Genomic DNA, 19,011 nt, shown 5'->3' with positions numbered 1-19,011 from the left:
GACTCGGGAGGCTGAGGCATGAGGATCACTTGAACCCAGGAGATAGAGGTTACGGTGAGCCAAGATTGCACCACTGCACTCCAGCCAGGGCAACAGAGCGAGACTCTGTCAAAAACAAAAAGAAAAGAAATTAAAAGTAATCTTTAAAAAGTTTTTTAAAAAGACTTGTTACAGGGAAGAAGAAATGTGTCTGTGAGGCGATGGGAAGAGGATACGGCAGTCTTGAGGAGAACTTCCTTGTTTTTCTTTTAGAGATGAGAGCAATGTGAGCCTATTTATAGTTGCAACCTCGCATGGTTCGCAGGAACCTGTGGTAGACATAGGAGAGTCTACCTTGGTGTAAATGACCTGGCAGCTCCCAGAAATCTTCCCCCTTCCTGCTTAGGTAGGAGTTGTTGATGATTGTCTGCACTGGTAGAATGTTCTTCATTTTTACAATGGTTTTTTTTTTTTTTTTGAGACAGAGTCTCACAGCGTCACCCAGACTGGAGTGCAGTGGCCCAATCTCGGCTCACTGCAACCTCCACCACCTGAGCTCAAGCAATTCATGTGCCTCAGTCTCCTGAGTAGCTGGAATTATAGGCATGTGCCACTACAGCTGGCTAATTTTTGTATTTTTAGTAGAGATGGGGTTTTACCATGTTGGTTAGGCTGGTCTCGAACTCCTGACGTCAAGTGATCCGCCCGCTTTGGCCTCCCAAAGTGCTGGGATTACAGGTGTGAGCCACAGCGCCCAGCCTACAATGGCTTTGTATTTAATTCTGTCAGTTGTATTAAAGAAGAATTACTGGGCTGGGTGTGGTGGCTGCCTGTAATTCCAGCACTTTGGGAGGCCAAGGCGGGCGGATCATGAGGTCAGGAGATCAAGACTATCCTGGCTAACACAGTGAAACCCCATCTCTACTAAAAATACAAAAAAATTAGCCGGGCGTGGTGGCACGCACCTCTAATCCCAGCTACTCAGGAGGCTGAGGCAGGAGAATGGCATGAACCCGGGAGGCGGAGCTTGCAGTGAGCTGAAATTGTCTCAAAAAAAAAAAAAAAAAGAAGAATCACCAAAATATAAACTCAACTAATGATGGAAAAGAAATGTCACACAAAACATTAGACCTTCAGTGGGTCAGAGTGTCACTTATTTGCTTAACTCCTAAGTGGTCTCTTAAGGGAATCAGGGGTGTTTTGGAAAGGGGACATTTCTAAGTTAGTCTTGTTAAGTATCAGTCTTGAGGGTGCCAGTTCCAGCTGTGTTTTTTTTGTTGTTTTTTTTTTTTTTTTTTTGAGACGGAGTCTTGCTCTGTTGCCCAGGCTGGAGTGCAGTGGCGTGTTCTTGGCTCACTGCAACCTCTGCCTCCTGGGGTTCAAGCAATTCTCCTGCCTCAGCGTCCTGAGTTGCTGGGATTATAGGTGCCAACCACCACACCTGGCTAATTTTTTTATTTTTTATTTTTAGTAGAGACGGGGTTTCACCATGTTGGCCAGGCTGGTCTCAAACTCCTGACCTCTTGATCCACCTGCCTCAGCCTCCCAAAGTGCTGGGATTACAGGTGTGAGCCACTGTGGCCGGCCTTAGCTGTGAGATTTTATGTAATTTTCTTAGCTTTACTGAGACTGAATCTTCTCACCTGAAAAGGAGGGATGAGAGGACATCCTCATGAAGGTTAGCAGTTGTGTAGAATGACTAGCATTCTATGGACACTGAGTTCATGGTAGGTGCTCATATTGTTGTTAAGCCTGGTATAAGTAAGGTGGCAAGGATTGCTACTCTGATATCTTATTTTTCTCCCCTGCATGTCACTGCTTTGTTATAATCATATCTGACCATTGCAATTAGATTTTAGTTTGTGTTTTTTCACAATAATCAGTTCCATAGGGACAGCCTACAATTTAGTTCAGCACTGTCAGTTCAGCTTGAATAGAATGTGACACTTAACCGATTTGTTTTTATTTATTTATTTGTTTATTTTTGAGACGGAGTCTTGCTCTGTCGCCCAGGCTGGAGTGCAGTGGCGCAATCTCGGCTCACTGCAAGCTCCGCCTCCCAGGTTCACGCCATTCTCCTACCTCAGCCTCCCGAGTAGCTGGGACTACAGGCACCCGCCACCACGCCCGGCTAATTTTTTGTATTTTTAGTAGAGACAGGGTTTCACCGTGTTAGCCAGGATGGTCTCGATCTCCTGACCTCGTGATCCGTCAGCCTTGGCCTCCTAAAGTGCTGGGGTTACAGGCGTGAGCCACCGCGCCCAGCCCTATTTGTTTTTATTTTTATTTATTTTAACTGATTTTTTTTTTTTTTTTTTTTGTGAGACGGTGTCTCGCTCTGTCGCCCAGGCTGGAGTGCAGTGGCGCGATCTCGGCTCACTGCAAGCTCTGCCTCCCAGGTTCATGCCATTCTCCTGCCTCAGCCTCCGGAGTAGCTGGAACTACAGGCTCCCACCACCACGCCTGGCTAATTTTTTGTATTTTTAATAGAGACGGGGTTTCACCGTGTTAGCCAGGATGGTCTCCATCTCCTGACCTCGTGATTCACCCGCCTTGGCCTCCCAACGTGCTGACATTACAGGTGTGAGCCACCGTGCCCGGCCAACTGATTTGTTTTTAAACCAAAGACCTAGCATGGAAGGGCTTTATCATGCTGGGTAGACTGTACCATTTTTAGCACCTCAGTGACCATCTAAAGACTAGAAACCAACCTTGGAGTAACACTGGGAGGCTTTTGGCTTTTGTTTTTGTTGCATCAGGTTCAGCTTCTACAGGATTAGAATGATTGTTATTTTAACAATGGATTACAGAAATGTGTCTGTTCAAAATCCATCTGTAATGGTAATACTGTATTCATCAGTGGTAGAGCAGGAGTCATTCTGGGGAAATCGGCCATGAGCCTGTTGACAATAGGCTATTTTGGGAAGCTGAATGTGTTAAACAAACAACAAAGACTGAAAATGAATAAACTGCTGATTTTCACGTGAGAGCTAATTTTAGTTCCTGGGCCTCCCTGTGATCTCTGAAATGAGAATGAGAAAAGATCTTGCCTGTCTGTGTTCAGGTTTTTTGAATGTCCCAGAGTGCTAACGTGACCTAGATTCTTAACTAGTGAAGTCGAGTGACTTGACTTTGCCCAACAAAAGTATTTTTGACACTCAGACTAGTGTCTGGATCTTTTCAGAAAAGAAAATAAACAACAAAGTCTAACAATCAGCTCTTCATTGGTGTTCACTTTATTTCCTTCCATGAAACTAGCCTCAGCTTAATGTCTTGTACTTTTTTAGGATATAGTTCCTTGTGAATAAATTGTGTGCTCTAGTTCATCATTTTGTAAGTTGAATATATATATATATTTGAATAACAAGAATTGTTTATGTAAGCAACAACTTTCTTTGAAGGCCCTTGGAAAACATTAATTACATTGTTCTCTTGCCCAAAATGTCTCTTGAAGCTTTATGATGAGCCCTACAGCTGCAGCACTATCTTTTGGTGATTGCTGTCACTGTGTTACAGAGAGCAGATATTCTAGAACCAAGGACCTGTTTTCTGGTTTTCAAAAAAGGAATTATTTTTTACTATACAGACATTATAGACCCCTTAATGGGAAAATTAGAGAAATATATTTTTCCTAACTACATTTATAATGGTAATGTCACATACATACAAAAAGTCAGTTCTTTCACCCTAAAAGATGAAATTAGTCCGTAATCTCATCTTTCTAAGCCCTTGTCTTTATTCATACGTAGGAATTTTTGTGGTTGTAGTTGTAGTTACATACAATCATTCGTCGTCTTCTCCCCCATTTGACATTATACTGTAAGCATTTTGCATAAAGTTACAAAAGCTGTAATACATCCCCCCAAGCGAGTACAGTGCAGTCATTAAAAAGAATAAGACTGGGCTGATCCACATACACTTGTATGAAGAGAGTTTACATATTTAGTTAAAAAAAAAGTGGAATTATGTAATTAAATGTGTTTAGATAATACAGAAATGTGAGGTGAAGGAAGTCTCCACCCGACGCATCTACCCACCTGCGTGCATATCGAGTCCCTACTTACCTTCCAGACTTTTCCTCTGCATCTGTTTATACAGGGTCTTTTTGTTTTGTTTTTACAAGAATGCAATCAGAATGTACATATATACTTCTACTCAACTTCTTTTTCAAACGTAATATATTGAGGAACGCTCTTCATACAAGTATATGTAGATCAGCCTAATCTTATTCTTTGTAATAACTGTATAGGATTTTCTTGCATGGTTATATTATAGCTTATTTAGCCAATTCCATACTGATTACTTTTAGGTTGTTCCTAAATTTTCTGTAGTACAAAACTTAAATTTAACAGTTCCTCTTTTATCACTGGACTTATTTTTCTTTCTTTTTAAGCTTCACTGAATTTAGGGTAAGTCACTGGGCATTGCTAGGAAATCGCAGTATTCGTTTTTTTTTTTTTTTTTGAGTCTCGCTCTGTCATCCAGGCTGGAGTGCAGTGGCGTGATCTTGGCTCACTGCAACCTCCACCTCTCAGGTTCAAGCGATTCTCCTGCCTCAGCCTCCTTAGTAGCTGGGGTTACAGGCACGTGCCACCACGCCCAGCTAATTTTTTTTGCATTTTTAGTAGAGACGGGATTTCACCGTCTCTATTAAATGGCGATTACAGTTGCCTGCCACCACGCTCGGCTAATTTTTGTACTTTTAGTGGAGACGGGGTTTCACCGTGTTGGCCAGGCTGCTCTCAAACTCCTGACGTCAGGTGACCTGCCTGCCTCGGCCTACCAAAGTGCTGGGATTACAGATGTGAGCCACTGCGCCCGGCCGAAATCACAGTATTCTTAACTATGCCTGGAAAGGGCAAAGAGGTGTTTGGATGACTAGATTTTTCTTTTCTGTTAGTTGCTCTTTAGTTAGCATAGGAATGGCATTTAAAAGATCAGCCTGAAGGCCTGGCTTCAAGCTGCTTTATGCTTGTAATCACAACATTTTGGGAAGCTATTGCTTGAGGCCAGGAGTTCAAGATCAGCCTGGTCAATATAGTGAGACCCCTTCTCTACAAAAAATAAAAAAAAATAAAAAAAAAAGAATGAAAAGTTTAGCTTGATTGATCGAGGTACAATTTTTTATTTTGCCAGTAGGATTTTGGATTCTTTGGTTAACTTAGGGTTATCAGTAATGGTTGTTTCCATTGTTTCAGGATCTGTGTTTTTGTATATTACTATCTAATTGCTTATTTGACCCATGAGAGTGTTTAAAAAGTGGACATTTTCTTCAATAAGTCTTCTGTATCAGAGAGTTGAAAAGTGGGAAGGATGTCAGTACAGTACGCGAATAATAATTTAAGGCCACTTAATTTTTTTTATTGTTGTGAGAAACGCAACGTAGAATGTCCCATCTTAATCCAGTTTAAGTGTACAGTGTGTTAACCCTGTGCTTGTTGTTGTGCAGATTTCTAGAACCTTTTCATGAGTTAGACTACTTTAGATACCTTTACCTTAAAGTAGAATCATGCAGTATTTGTTGTTTTTGACTCGCTTATTTCACTTAGCTTGATATCCTCAAAGACTTATCCATGTTCTAGCACGTGACAGGATTTCCTTTTTTTTGTTTTTTTTAATTTGTTTTTTTGGTGGGTGGGGAACGGAGTCTTGCTCTGTTGCCCAGGCTGGAGTGCAGTGGCACTATCTCTGCTCACTGCAACCTATCCGCCTCCCGGGTTGAAGCGATTCTCCTGCCTCAGCCTCCCGAGTAGCTGGGATCATAAGCGCCCACCACCAAGCCTGGCTAATTTTTGTATTTCTAGTAGAGATGGGGTTTCACCATATTGGCCAGGCTGGTCTCAAACTCCTGACCTCAGGTGATCTGCCCACCTCAGCCTCCCAAAGTGTTGGGATTACAGGCGTGAGCCACTGCGCCGGGCTGGGATTTCCTTCTTTTTAAAGGCAGAATAGTATTCCATTTTGTGTATATACCACATTTGCTTTATCTGTTAATCTGTCAGTGGACCTTTAGGTTGCTTTCACCTCTTGGCTGTTGGGGTTAATGCTGCAGTAAATATGGGTGTGCAGATATCTTTTTGAGGTCCTGTTTTCAAATCTTTTGAGGTTTTTTTCATTTTTTAGAGTTGAAATTGTCTATATTTAAGGTGTACTGCATGATTTTTATTTTATTTTATTTATTTTATTTTATTTGAGACTGGGTCTTGCTCTGTTGCCTGGGCTGGAATACAGTGATGCGATCACAGCTCACTGTAGCCTTGACCTCCTGTGCTGAGTGATCCTCCTGCCTCAGCCTCCTGAGTAGCTAAGATTATAGGTGTCTGCCACCACATCTGGCTAATTTAAAATTTTTTTTTGTAGAGACAGGGTCTCTTTTTGTTGCCCAGGCTGGTCTTGAACTCCTGGGCTCAAGCAATCCTCCCGCCTCAGCCTCCCACAGTGCTGGGATTACAGGTGTGAGCTTCCACACTCTGCCCTCATTTAATCTTTAGCTGATTCCACAGTGGTTTCTAACTCTACCACTACCAAAGCAGCTCTTTAAAAGGTCTCCAGCAGCCTCATGTCACTGACTCTGATTTTCAGGGCTCCGTTGCCTTCTGAGCAGCAGGTCACTCTGCTGGTTGGTTTATCCTTCATGGATACCCTCTTGCCTTGGCCTCCTCAGCACCACACTGGAAAACTGGTTTTCCTTCTTCCACTCTGGTGTTCCTTTGTCTCCTTGTGGAACTTCCTCTGTAATGACTGTGCATACAGCTATTAAAGGAGTTTTCAAAGCTTGCGCCGCAGCTCTCTTTCCTTCGCACTTTATATTTTCTCCTTCATCGCTGTTATCCGTGCCAGGGCTTCACTTGTTTGTTTGCAAATCACTTACATGTTTATTTCTACACACCTCTTCTCTGGGCTCCATCTCCGCTTAAATGTCTCAGATGCAGCTCAGATTTATATTTCTCTTCAAAAACGGTTCTCTGCCAGAGTTACTAACTTCAGTTAGGGTGGCACCGCCTATCCTGTTGAGCAAGCTAGAACCTTGGGAGACTCATGTGAAACACAGCATCCCTTAGCTCACATATCATTTCGTTGCTAAATCTCACAGATGTTCTCTCCAAAATATCTCTAATTCCTTTCACTTTTCCCTATCTCTGCCATTGCTACCTTTATCTAGATATAGCCTTTTTTTTTTTTTTTTTTTTTTTGAGACAGGATCTCACTCTGTTGCCCAGGCTGGAGTGCAGTGGTACAATTTCGGCTCACTGCAGCCTCCACCTCCCAGGCTCAAGTGATCCTCCCACCTCAGTACCGCGCCCTACTCCCACTCCCCCGCCTAGAGTAGCTGGGAACACAGGTGCATGCCACCACACCACCACACTGACTAATTTTTGTATATTTTATAGAAATAGGGTTTCACCATGCTACCCAGGTTGGTCTCAAACTCCTGGACTCAAGCCATCCACCCACCTCAGCCACCCAAAGTGCTGGAATTACAGTTGTGAGCCACCACACCCAGCCTTTATCTAGCCTCTTAACGCAGGTATAGCAGTAGCTTCCTAATTAGAGCCTTTGCTTCCACTTTGTTCCAACTTTATTCTATACCATACCTAAATCCTTAACATAGAATATACTTTTATCAGCTGGGTGCAGTGGCTCACACCTGTAATCCCAGCACTTTGGGAGGTCGAGGCGGGCAGATCATGAGGTCAGGAGATTGAGACCATCCTGCCTGACACGGTGAAACCCCGTCTCTACTAAAAATACAAAAAATTAGCTGGGCATGGTGGTACATGCCTGTAGTCCCAGCTACTCGGGAGGCTGAGGCAGGAGAATTGCTTGAACCCGGGAGGCGTAAGTTGCAATGAGCCGAGATCTCGCCATTGCACTCCAGCCTGGGTGACAGAGCGAGACTCTGTCTCAAAAAAAAAAAAAGAGTAGTATCCTGGTGTGATTATTAATAGTTTTTCTTTCACTTTCAGAAAGTTTCAGACTGGACATGATAAAATTATATGGTCACTCTAATTATAATGCCCTACGTAATCTGGAACCTGCCTTCCTCCCCAGCTTCACCTTGAACTATATACGCTTACTTTGCTCTCTGCATTTGAGGCACAGTGACTGTCTCTTAGTACCTGGAATGCTCCAGAAGTTCTGCCTTAGGGTCTTTGTACTTGCGGTTTGCTTTACCTAGGACCCTAGAATGCCACGTTCCCTTCCCTTCGTTCCTTCCTTTGTGAATTTTTCTTCCATTGTCAGTTCTTAGCTTAGTTGTCTGTGCAGGGAAGCCTCCTCTGACCTTCCTAAGGCAGATCCACTAATTAGGGGGGGTCAGTAGTATCTTTTACCTGTCTTTTATAGCATCTGTCGCAGTTATAGTTTTACAGGTATTTAAGTGATTTCTGGATAATACCTATCCTCCGCCAGACCGTCCGCTTCAGAAAGGGAGGGATTGTCTGTGTTTGCTTACTGCAATATCCCTAGCATTTTGCGTAATACCTGGCACATAGTTGACACTTAATAACTATTTGTTGAATGAATAAAGGAATGCATGCCAGCTGTCACAGTTTCTTAAAAATTCTGACCTATTCTGTATACCTCAGTTGAACAAAGTAGTGCTCAAAATAAACATTTTTATATTTCACTTTTAAAAGTAGAGTAGCCAAGTACCCCAACTTTCTTTACAATTCTACTGTTTACAATTGAGTAGAGCAGTGGTCTCCAACCTTTTTGGCACCAGGGACCAGTTTCACGGATGACAATTTTTTCATGGACCTGTGGTGGGGGAGGGGTGATTTCGGGATGATTCAAGCGCATTACATTTATTGTACATTTATTACGTTGTATTATTTCATGTAATGAAATAATTATACAACTCACCATAGTGTAGAATCAGCTTGTTTTCCCGCAGCTTGTTTCCCCTCAGCTAGACGGTCCCATATGGGGGTGATGGGAGACAGTGACAGATCATCAGGCTTTAGATCCTCAAGGAGTGCTCAACCTAGATCCCTCGCATGCGGCGTTCCCAGGAGGGTTCACGCTCCTGTGAGAATCTAATGCTGCGCTGATCTGACAGGAGGCGGAGCTGAGGCAGTAATGTGAGCAATGGAAAGTGGCTGTAAATTCAGATGAAGCTTTGCTTGCCTCTCACCTCCTGCTGTGCGGCACAAGTCCTAACAGGCCAGGGACCAATATCAGTCCATGGCCCAGGGGTTGGGGACTCCTGTAATAGAGGGTGCGGCCCATTAGCCTGTGAATTGTATAAGGCTTGCAGTTATTATTTATTGCCCATATTAATCTTAAGAATCAGATCCATTTCATATGAAAACATGGATCACTGGTTTTGTTTGAAAGTATTAGAGAGCTGGCAAAACCGGGCTGGCAAATCCACACAACATTAACTACTTAGAGTGGTGGTCACCAGGCGCGGTGGCTCACACCTGTAATCCCAGCACTTTGGGAGGCCGAGGCAGGCAGTATGCCTGAGGTCAGGAGTTCAAGACCAGCCTGGCCAACATGGCGAAACCCCGTCTCTACTAAAAATACAAAATTAGCCGGGCATGGTGGTACATGTCTGTAGTCCTATCTACTCAGGAGGTTGAGGCAGAAGAGTCGCCTGAAGCCGGGAGGTGGAGGTTGCAGTGAGCTGATATTGCGCCATTGAACTCCAGGCTGGGCGACAAGAACGAAACTTCGTCTCAAAAAAAAAAAAAGAACAGAGTAGTGGTCATAACCTTTGAAATGGTCATTTGTGGCATCTGGCATAGTGCTACTAAAAGTGGTTATTGAACTGGCTGCTTAACCACAGACTATTTGTTACTGTCCACAGAGATAAGGACCTTGTGCCGTATGTTTAGGTTACCTCACATTTCTTTGGTTTAATTGACTTTTTAATGTGTTGTTTACATTCTGGCACAAGCTCTTTATCTTGTCAGGGACTGGCATTTTGAGTAGTACCAATAGCTATTCCTTATAAATATTTTGAAACCCCTGATTTTCACAATTACTTTGAAATGCCAGTGCAAAATAGCAATACTTTTGTTACTATTTACTGCCCTTAGATAATACTCTTTATCAAGCTTATTTTATAAGTAAGTTACTAAGTTTCTTTAATAGAGATTTTTCTGAAAACTTTTTTCTCCTCAAATTCCTTTTACCATGAAATTTTACGTTTGAGATATTAAGCCTTTGAACATAGACATGGGATATTTTTCCTTTTGTGTGTTTAGCAGTGAAATTTAGTTAATAGGTCAGGCTACCATTCTCGAGTTAAAGACACGAATGTGTTTGAATGCCTTAGCATGGTACTTAGATGTGAACTTCTTCGTCATATGTAAAACTTGACTTTCATTCCTATGTCATTGAAGGAAATGGAATTGGCCCATTTTTCTCACACACTTGACTGATTTCACAGGAATAAAATATTCTCGTTAGAAGTAAAACTGAAGTGCTTATAGATTTTATACCTTTTTATTGCTCATCATTTATCTTGTTGATCCTGAGTTTATACTGCTTTTAGTCGAGTAAGAAATACAAAGATAGTGCAAATCTTTTTTTTATGTGAAAATTGATTGAGGCCATTGCGTGCTATTGAGTAAAGCAGAAATGTGTTCGTGGTTGTTGCCCCTGGATTAACCCTCTTTTATTAGCCCCCATAAATGACAAAATTAATACATATCCAATTCTGATGTCTAAGAATAAACTTAATACCCCTTTAAATAGACTTAATGTATTTTAATGAGACTTTTAATTGCTAGCATATATTTATGCAATAAACTTCTGCTTCCACTGTCCTATAGAAGCTGTTCTTTAAAACCAACACCCACAGAAATGGAGTCAGTCACTTTTTAAAGTTATTATTCTCTTGACCTCCATCAGCATTTTATATTTTTAACCCATTCTACATAGTTGCTCATTTAATCCTTTTGATCCAAAAATTAAGGTTGTCTGTTGTGAAATAACTCCTATTTTCATTTTTATTTGTAGTTGTCTGGGATACTTTTGGTTAAGCTTTTATTTTCAACCTTTGGATCATTTTGTTTTAGCCGTAGTTTTTGTTTAAAACAGTTTATTGTAATTAGTTGGTTTTGTCTTTTGTAATCTAATCTGAGAGTATTATGAGTTTACTATTTACATTCATTTCACATTCATTTTATATCATGCTTTGTTCTTGCTGCTTTTTTTTTTTAACACTATATGATCTGATTTTCACCTACCTTTCCTTTACTGCCCCTGATTTTATTTGATTATATTATTTATCTTCATTCTTCTAGTGTTAATATTATTATTATTATTATTTTTGAGACAGGGTCCCACTCTGTCACCCAGGCTGGAGTGCAGTGATGGGATCTTGGCTCACTGCAGCCTTGATCTCCTGGGCTCAAGTGATCCTCCTGCCTCCTGCGTAGCGGGGACCGCAGGCTCACACAACCACCATACTCCACATCCAGCTAATTTTTGTACTATTTGTAGAGACGGGCTTTCGCCATGTTGCCCAGGCTGGTCTCAAGCTCCTGAGCTCAAGCAGTCCGCCCACCTCGGCCTCCCAAAGTGCTGAGATTACAGGTGTGAGCCATTGGGCCCAGCCAGTTTATCTTCCTAAATGTGTGCTTCTATCTCTGCTACTTAGTTTATCAGCCTTAAATGAAGTCTTTTGACCCTGTGTATAAAAGCTGAGGCACTCCCTCTCCATTTCCTGTTTCCTGTCCCGAATTTTGATTATGTGTATGTTGTCGTGGTTTGTAAACACTTACATTTTATTATGTAGCCACGGTTCACAGGTGTTTTCATCTTAGCTCTCTGGTTAAAATGGCTTAACTGCTCAGTGCCAGTTGTTTTGCTATACAGTAAGTCCTCAGTTAGTGTTGCCAGTAGATTCTTGGAAACTGCGACATGAATGAAATGATGTATAGCAGGTCCTCTAATAACGTCATTTCCTTATAAGTGATGAGAAAAAAATTGATTTTGTTACGTATGGTTTCGCTTAAAGTCAAAGAACCTATTGTCAATGTTAAGTGAAGACTTACTGTAGTTCCTTAATTTATCTCAATTGATTAACTTTTTCCATTAGGAATTTCTTCACAAAGAGCTCGTGAAAACTCTACTCCTTGAGTTCCTGTATACTCAAAATGTTTATCTGTTGTCATTATAATCAAAGTAAGTTTGGCTGAGCATAAAATTGTGTCACACTTTTTTTCCTCTAAGGGCTTTGTAGTCACTGTTCTTTTGTCTTTTACTATTGAATGGTGCTGTGTGGACATCTAAAAGCAGCCTCATGTACCCTACTGCGTCCCTAACCCCAAAATCAATTGTTTAGCTTACTTGCCTAGATATCTAAAGGATTTTTTTTTCTTGTAAGCCTTAAAGTCTGGTAATTTTTTTAGGTGTTGGTATTTCTAATTCTGTATCTTTTCCTGGGAACATAGTGAGCCTTCTATTTCTGGAAAGTTACCTTGAATCATGTCTTTGAATATTTCTTTATTCTAATCCTTTGGTTCTCTTATTCAGAATCCCCAGTTATCTGCAAGGGGGTCTTCATTATTAACCTCTCTTATGTTTACTACTTTTTCTTTACTTTTTAAAACTTCTTGCTCCTTTCCATTTCATTTGTTTATTGAGATATAGTTCATATACTATAAAATTCACTCTCATAACTTGGTGGTTTTTAGTATATTGACACGTGTACAACCATGGCCACTCTCTCCTTCCTGAATTTTGTTTAATTGTGCCTGCTTTTTTGGGTCTTGCTTGCTGTATCCCTTTCTCTTCTTCTCTGTATCGTTGAAGCATATAATACCAGTTTGTTTCATAATTAGGGGTATTAACTTTGGTCACTTCGTTAAGGGGGTATCTGTCAGATTTCTTCATTTTACTGTTATTTTATCCTTTCATAATCTGATAATTGATATCATTATCAAGGTAGTTGATAATTTGTGGGGAAGTACGTTGTGACTGTGTAAATATCCTGGGTTTTTTTTTTTTTTGTCATTGTTTCTTTTTTTTCTGAAACATGGTCTCACTCTGTCATCCGTACGGGAGTGCGGTGGCTTCATCTAGGCTCACTGCAACCTCTGCCCCTTCCAGGTCCAAGCAATTCTGCAAGCTCAGCCTCCTGAGTAGCTGGGACTAAAGGTGCATGTGCCACTATGCTTGGCTAATTTTTGTAATTTTTGATAGAGATGGAGTTGCACCATGTTGGCCAAGCTGGTCTTGAACTCCTGACCTCAAGTGATCCATCTGCCTTGGCCTCCCAAAGTGTTGGGATTACAGGTGTGAGCTGCCGTGCCCAGCCCAATATCCTGTTTTTCAACAAACTTTTACTCATTATTTTTAGCATCCATTGATAATTCTTAATTGAAACAATTATTAGCATGGCGATTGCCAAATGTAATTATCTAACTCTTTCATTACTTCTACATTTAAGGATGGACTCATGTATTTTATTCTATGGTCTATAATCCTTTGTTAGCCTTCTTCATTCACATTGACACAGATTTGGCCAAAGGGAGCCCCATCAAGCAGGGTCTAGTGTACTTCTGATTTGTTTCTATCTTCCTTTCAGCATGTCCTGTTTTCTAATACAATAAAATGCTTCGGGTTTATCTTGTACTTCCCTTTCCAATTCTGGAATAACCATTTATCCAAGGAACTCCGATTCCTTTGGGGAGTGCTATTTGGAAACCAAGGTCTGGCACTCTAGGTATGCTCGTAGCGATGGGAGCGTCATTGCTTCCAGGCTCTGGCTGTGTCTCTTCAGGGTCCACTATAGTCATCCTGTTTCTGTCTGCTGTAGATTATATTAAAGCTTCATTCTTCATCCCTTCCATTTTCCTCCCTATAAGTTAGTGTCTGGAAGCATTCTTAGAGGTCAGACGAAATCATTATATTCAGGTATGGAATGCAATTTTTGTATAGATAACAAATCTATATTCATGAAATCTGATGCTGCCCATCATCCATCTTTTTGCAAGGTCTTTTCCTGTGAAAGGTATGTTTTTTCTTTTCTTTTCTTTTTTTTTTTTTTTTTGAGACAGAGTCTCTCTCTGTCACCTAGGCTGAAGTGCAGTGGCACAGTCTCGGCTCACTGCAACCTCTGCCTTCCGGGTTCAAGCGATTCTCCTGCCTCAGCCTCCTGAGTAGCTGGGATTACAGGCATGCGCCACCATGCCTGGCTGATTTTGTATTTTTAGTAGAGTTGGGGTTTCTCCATGTTGGTCAGGCTGGTCTCGAACTCCCAACCTCAGGTGATCCACCCACCTCAGCCTCCCAAAGTGGTAGGATTACAGGTGTGAGCCACCGTGCCCGGCCAGTCCTTTACTTTTATAGGTGGAGAAACTGAGACCTAAGAACTGAAGTGACTTACGTCCATGGCAAATTGATTGCAGAGCCAAAAGTGGAGTCCAGATCTCCTAACTTCCATACTAGAACATTTTTGCTGTGGGGAGTGGAGAGAGATTGGGTTGATGGTACCTGCCTGAAGTTTCCATGGTTGCTGGGTGGAAACAGCACTCTTCCTTCTGTCTTGGCACTCAAGCATCCCGATGGACATTGAATTTTTCCAATGATTGGTCATTTGATGACCAGGCAGGGGAGCAGAAAAGGAGATAGTACAGACCAGAAGCTGTTTGAGGATGTGTTGTTGCCTGACCAGACACCTTGAGGCCAGAATTCTAAGTAGTTTCAAAACTCCTCCCTTTCATACCCCATCTACTGACTTTCTGCTTTCTTCAAAATGCTCTGTTGGCCAGGTGCAGTGGTTCACGCCTGCAATCCCAACACTTAGGCTGAGGCGGGAGGATTACATGGGCCCAGGAGTTCAAGACCAGTTGAGGCAACATAAGGGGCTGGGCCCTTTTCTCTACGAAAAAAAAAAAAAAAAAAAGCTTAGTGTGGTGGTATGCACCTGTAGTCCCAGCTACTTGTGGGGCCGAGGCAGGAGGGTCACTTGAGCCTGGGAGGGTGAGGCTGCAGTGAGCCATGATCACACCGTGCATTCCAGTCTGGGAGACAGTGAGGACCTGGCTCAAAAACAAAACAAAACAAAACAAAACCCACAAAAACCAAAAAAGACCCTGCTCTGTTTATAAATAAGGTCTGTTGATATTCTTTTTTAATATTTTCAGTTTAGCAGTATTTTGACATCAACATAGTTATATTGGTACAAGTTTCTTAAAAGGTTAAATACAAATATATCTTATGATCCATTCCTGACTGTCTACCCAAGAGCAGCGAAAACGTATGTCCACACAAAGACTTGTATGTAAATGTTCATAGCAGCATTGTTCGTGATGGTCAACAATCCATCATGACCGTGATGGAAACAACCCAGATGTTCAGGAACTGGTGAATGGATAAACAAAATGTAGTCATTCTTACTATGGAACATTATTCGCCCATAAAAAGAAGTGAAACACTGACAAGTTACAAAATGGATGAACCTCACAAACTTGTGTTAAGTGACCAGAAGACCTCATTATGATTTCAGTTACTTGAAGTGTCCAGAAAAGGCAAATCTATGAAGACAGAAAGTACATCAATGGTTGCCTCAGGCTAACGTTGGAAATGAGGAAAGACATGCAAATGGTCATGAGTTCTGCTTTTTGGGGTGATAGGAGTGTTCTAAAAGTGGGTTTTGGTGATGGTTGCACGACTCTGTTAATATACTAGAAACTATTCAATTGTACACTTACAGGTGAATTTTATAGTATGTGAATTATACTTCATAAAGCTTTAAAAAGTTACATTTAAAATTTGATGTCTGTAATATTTGTCATATTTAAGTATCTTATCCTGTGTTCATATTAAACATTTTTATACTGACTTCTTTCCACTTTTAAGTAGGATTTTCAAGGAATGCTAATGTCAGATGATGTTAATGGTAAGAGTAAAAACAGCTAGCATTTGTAAAATAGTTATTATGCACCAGACATTATGCTAAGTACTTCTCAGGTCATCTCACAGTAGCATTGTGATATTGGTATTACTGTCCTCATTTCACAGCAGAGGAAACACTTTCATAGAGGTAAATGACTTGTTCAAAGTCACACAGTGAGGAGACGACGAGACAGGAATTTGAGCCGAGTCATTTAATCTCTGTGCTCCATATACGGATATGCAGTGTTTTTGGTGGAGGATTGTACTGATTTTCATAAGCTGTGACTGTGTGAAACACTCGTGTATGTGCCACTGGGATGAGTGCTCTGTGTAACTGTGTGTGATCTCCCTGGGAGGTTCGGATGGGTATTTGGTTCTGCCTGTTTGCCGTAGAGCTTGTACAACATAGTGAATCTTACTAATCAGTTTTACTTCCTTTTCTTTATTCCTCAGCCTTAATTTTAAAGACCCCGAAGCAGTCAGAGCTCTGACGTGTACTCTCCTAAGGGAAGATTTTGGACTTTCTATTGATATTCCATTGGAGAGACTAATTCCCACAGTTCCCTTGAGACTCAACTATATTCACTGGGTAGAAGATCTGATCGGTCACCAGGATTCTGACAAAAGTACTCTCCGAAGAGGAATTGACATAGGTATATCATTTTAAATTCTTTTTTGGCTAAACAGTTTTCATAAGTTTTGCGAGATCAAATTCTTTGTAAACTTTTCTACTGGGTATTTGTTGTTGTACAAAAGAAGCTGGCTACAGATACAGGTTGAGCATCCTTAATCCGAAAATCCGAAATGCTTCAAAATCTGCAACCTTTGAGCACTGATGTGTTGCTCAAAGGCAATGTGCGTTGGAGCGTTCCAGATTTGGGGGTTAGGGATGTTCAGCCTGTAAATATAGTGCACATATTTCAAAATCTGAAAAAAAAATTGAAATCCAAAACACTTCTCATCCCAAGCATTTTGGATTAGGGATCCTCAGCCTGCATTACCGTTCTTTTTTACTACACCTGGCCTTTTCTCCCACTGATTTCTCTTGAGAAGGGATTGTCAGTCCAAACAGGGAGCAAGAGGTTAAGGGAAGTACAAAATGAAAATGAGGCTCTTATTTATATAGCTTTTCATTTTATTTTTTTAATTTAAAAATTTTTTTATTTTGAGATGGGGTCTCGTGTTGCCCAGGTTGGTCTTGACTCCTGGGCTCAAGCAGTCCACCTGCCTTGGCTTCCCAAAGTGCTGGGATTACAGGCATGAGCCACTACGCCTGGCCCTATTTAGCTTTTCAGATTACCACTTTGATGTCTGTGTCTGTTGGGCTTTATTTTTACTCTGGATTATTTGATGTGTTCGTATTCTGATTTTTTTTTTTTTTTGAAACGGAATTTTGCTCTTGTCGCCCAGGCTGGAGTGCAATAGCACGGTCTCGACTCGTTGCAACCTCCGCCTCCCGGGTTCAAGCAATGCTCCTGCCTCAGCCTCCCAAGTAGCTGGGATTACAGGTGCCTGCCACCACCCCTGGCTAATTTTTGTATTTTTAGTAGAGGTGGGATTTCACCATGTTGATCAGGTTGTTCTCAAACTCCTGACGTCAGGTGATCCGCCTGCCTCGTCCTCCCAAAGTGCTGGGATTACAGGCGTGAGCCACCATGCCCAGCCTCTATTTCTAACTGAGTAGAACTAATAGCAGTCCTAATTTCTAGATAGCAGTAAATGTTTAACTTTGATATTTGCATGCATTTTCAGCCCTCATCCTACATGATCTTTTCAGCGGCATTTATTGATCCCTCCTTTCTCTTTTGTTCACTCTCCTTCATTGGCTTCCATGACACCAGACTGCTGGTTTCCTCTTTCATTTCTTTGCACTGTTCTCCACTTTTCAGGCATACCTTCCTGTAGCTGACCACTAGATACTGGTATTCCTTGCATAAGGCTCAGCCTTTAGCTCCTTTCTCACTCAGCACCCTACCCTGGTAATTGCATTCACTTCTATGACGATTTCCCAACTCCATGCAAATAAATCACATATTTATATGTTCCTCCAACTCAGATTACTTTCCTTGACCTCCAATCTCATATATATGAGAAACTTGGATTTCTGAAAAACATCTCAGACTTGCTATGTCCAAGACCAAACCCACACTCTGTTTCCCTAATCCTGGTTCTCTTTGTTTCTTGTTTCAGTGAGTCTACCATAGTCCACCCTGTGGTCCTTGATACTTGCTTCTCCACATGCAGTGAAAAAATATCTATCACTGTTTCCTGTTGACTTTGTCTCTTAAATACTTCTGAAATCATCTACTTCTCTCCATCTCCACTGCCATCCTAGCCAAGTCATCGTCTCTCACCTTTCTGCATTTCTCACCTCTTCTGCTTCTCAGCTAGTTTGCTTAAAAAGCTTGACAGCCTAGTTGGTACTAATTTGATTTTAATTATGCCCCAAACCCTCTAAAATAGCACTTGGGGATAGAGGAGGTTAATGGATTTCAATTCTTCACAAGGGGCACTACCTAACTGCAATCACATCCATTCTAATTAGGGTTTTATATAAATTCTTCCCCCAGACTCCATCAGTTTGCTCTAATTCTACCATTATGTACTTTCCATTTTTATTTGTCATTACAAAGATTATTACCCATTTAAAAATGTCATTTGGCTTTCTGAGGGGATTTCATTCTGTCCTGTAAAGGACTAGTAGAGAATCTGTTGCGTTCTATTAGAGTGCAAGTCTTTGGGTCTTAAGAATTAAGAAACTTTTTTTGGCGCTGACAAATCTTTTATGTGTATTTATTACCCTGGAGGTAAGTGTACTTTTTTATCTTTTAAATGAAATTGAAGTTTGAAGAGAGAGGCAGTTGTATAAAAGTCAAGGATCTGGTCTGGATTTTTTTCCTACAGAGTCGAAAGTACAACTGACATGTTCTTACTGTGTGTGTGTTTGGCTTACTAGAACGGCTAGCAGCAGCCAAAGAACTGTGGTTTCTGACAGGACCTCGAATACCCTTTACCACGCCTTCCCTCACTGCCCCGCAGGTATCCAAGGACGTGCTTGTCCAGTAGCACTGGGGCCAGGATACCCTCGGGCAAAAATGGTAGGCAATGCAGCGTTCACCGTGACCGTCGGAGAGCTTAAATGTTGCGGCCATCATCTTTTACTAGCCTGTTCAG

General features: G+C 41.4%; 1 protein-coding gene across 3 annotated transcripts in view, besides 3 other annotated features; it reads left to right on the top strand.

Annotated features, from left to right (window-relative positions):
• The window catches only part of METTL16 (methyltransferase 16, RNA N6-adenosine), a 96,174-nt gene that overhangs the window by 17,713 nt on the left and 59,450 nt on the right, over positions 1–19,011 (top strand). For all 3 annotated transcript variants that reach the window (XR_007065448.1, XM_047436697.1, NM_024086.4), the window contains one exon: positions 16,291–16,490. Coding sequence is in view for 1 of the 3 variants with exons in the window: in NM_024086.4 (NP_076991.3) it covers positions 16,291–16,490 (200 nt within the window). In the remaining 2 variants the exon portion in view is untranslated. The remainder of the gene's footprint in view (positions 1–16,290; positions 16,491–19,011) is intronic.
• Positions 3,010–3,079: an enhancer, noted in NCBI's record as "active region_11494". NCBI's record gives its function as "activates an Ori minimal core promoter by ATAC-STARR-seq in GM12878 lymphoblastoid cells {active_cell/tissue: GM12878}" and the evidence as "EXISTENCE:reporter gene assay evidence [ECO:0000049][PMID:35858748]".
• Positions 4,739–4,838: a silencer, noted in NCBI's record as "silent region_8004". NCBI's record gives its function as "represses an Ori minimal core promoter by ATAC-STARR-seq in GM12878 lymphoblastoid cells {active_cell/tissue: GM12878}" and the evidence as "EXISTENCE:reporter gene assay evidence [ECO:0000049][PMID:35858748]".
• Positions 14,251–14,430: a silencer, noted in NCBI's record as "fragment chr17:2383040-2383219 (GRCh37/hg19 assembly coordinates)". NCBI's record gives its function as "represses an EF-1alpha promoter that drives an FKBP-Casp9 reporter gene in an ReSE screen in K562 erythroleukemia cells {active_cell/tissue: K562}" and the evidence as "EXISTENCE:reporter gene assay evidence [ECO:0000049][PMID:32094911]".

Source organism: Homo sapiens, chromosome 17 (genome assembly GCF_000001405.40).
Source record: "Homo sapiens chromosome 17, GRCh38.p14 Primary Assembly".
Taxonomy (NCBI): domain Eukaryota; kingdom Metazoa; phylum Chordata; class Mammalia; order Primates; family Hominidae; genus Homo; species Homo sapiens.
The sequence above is the reverse complement of the archived record's forward strand: the minus strand, read 5'-3'. Positions and strand labels throughout refer to the sequence as shown.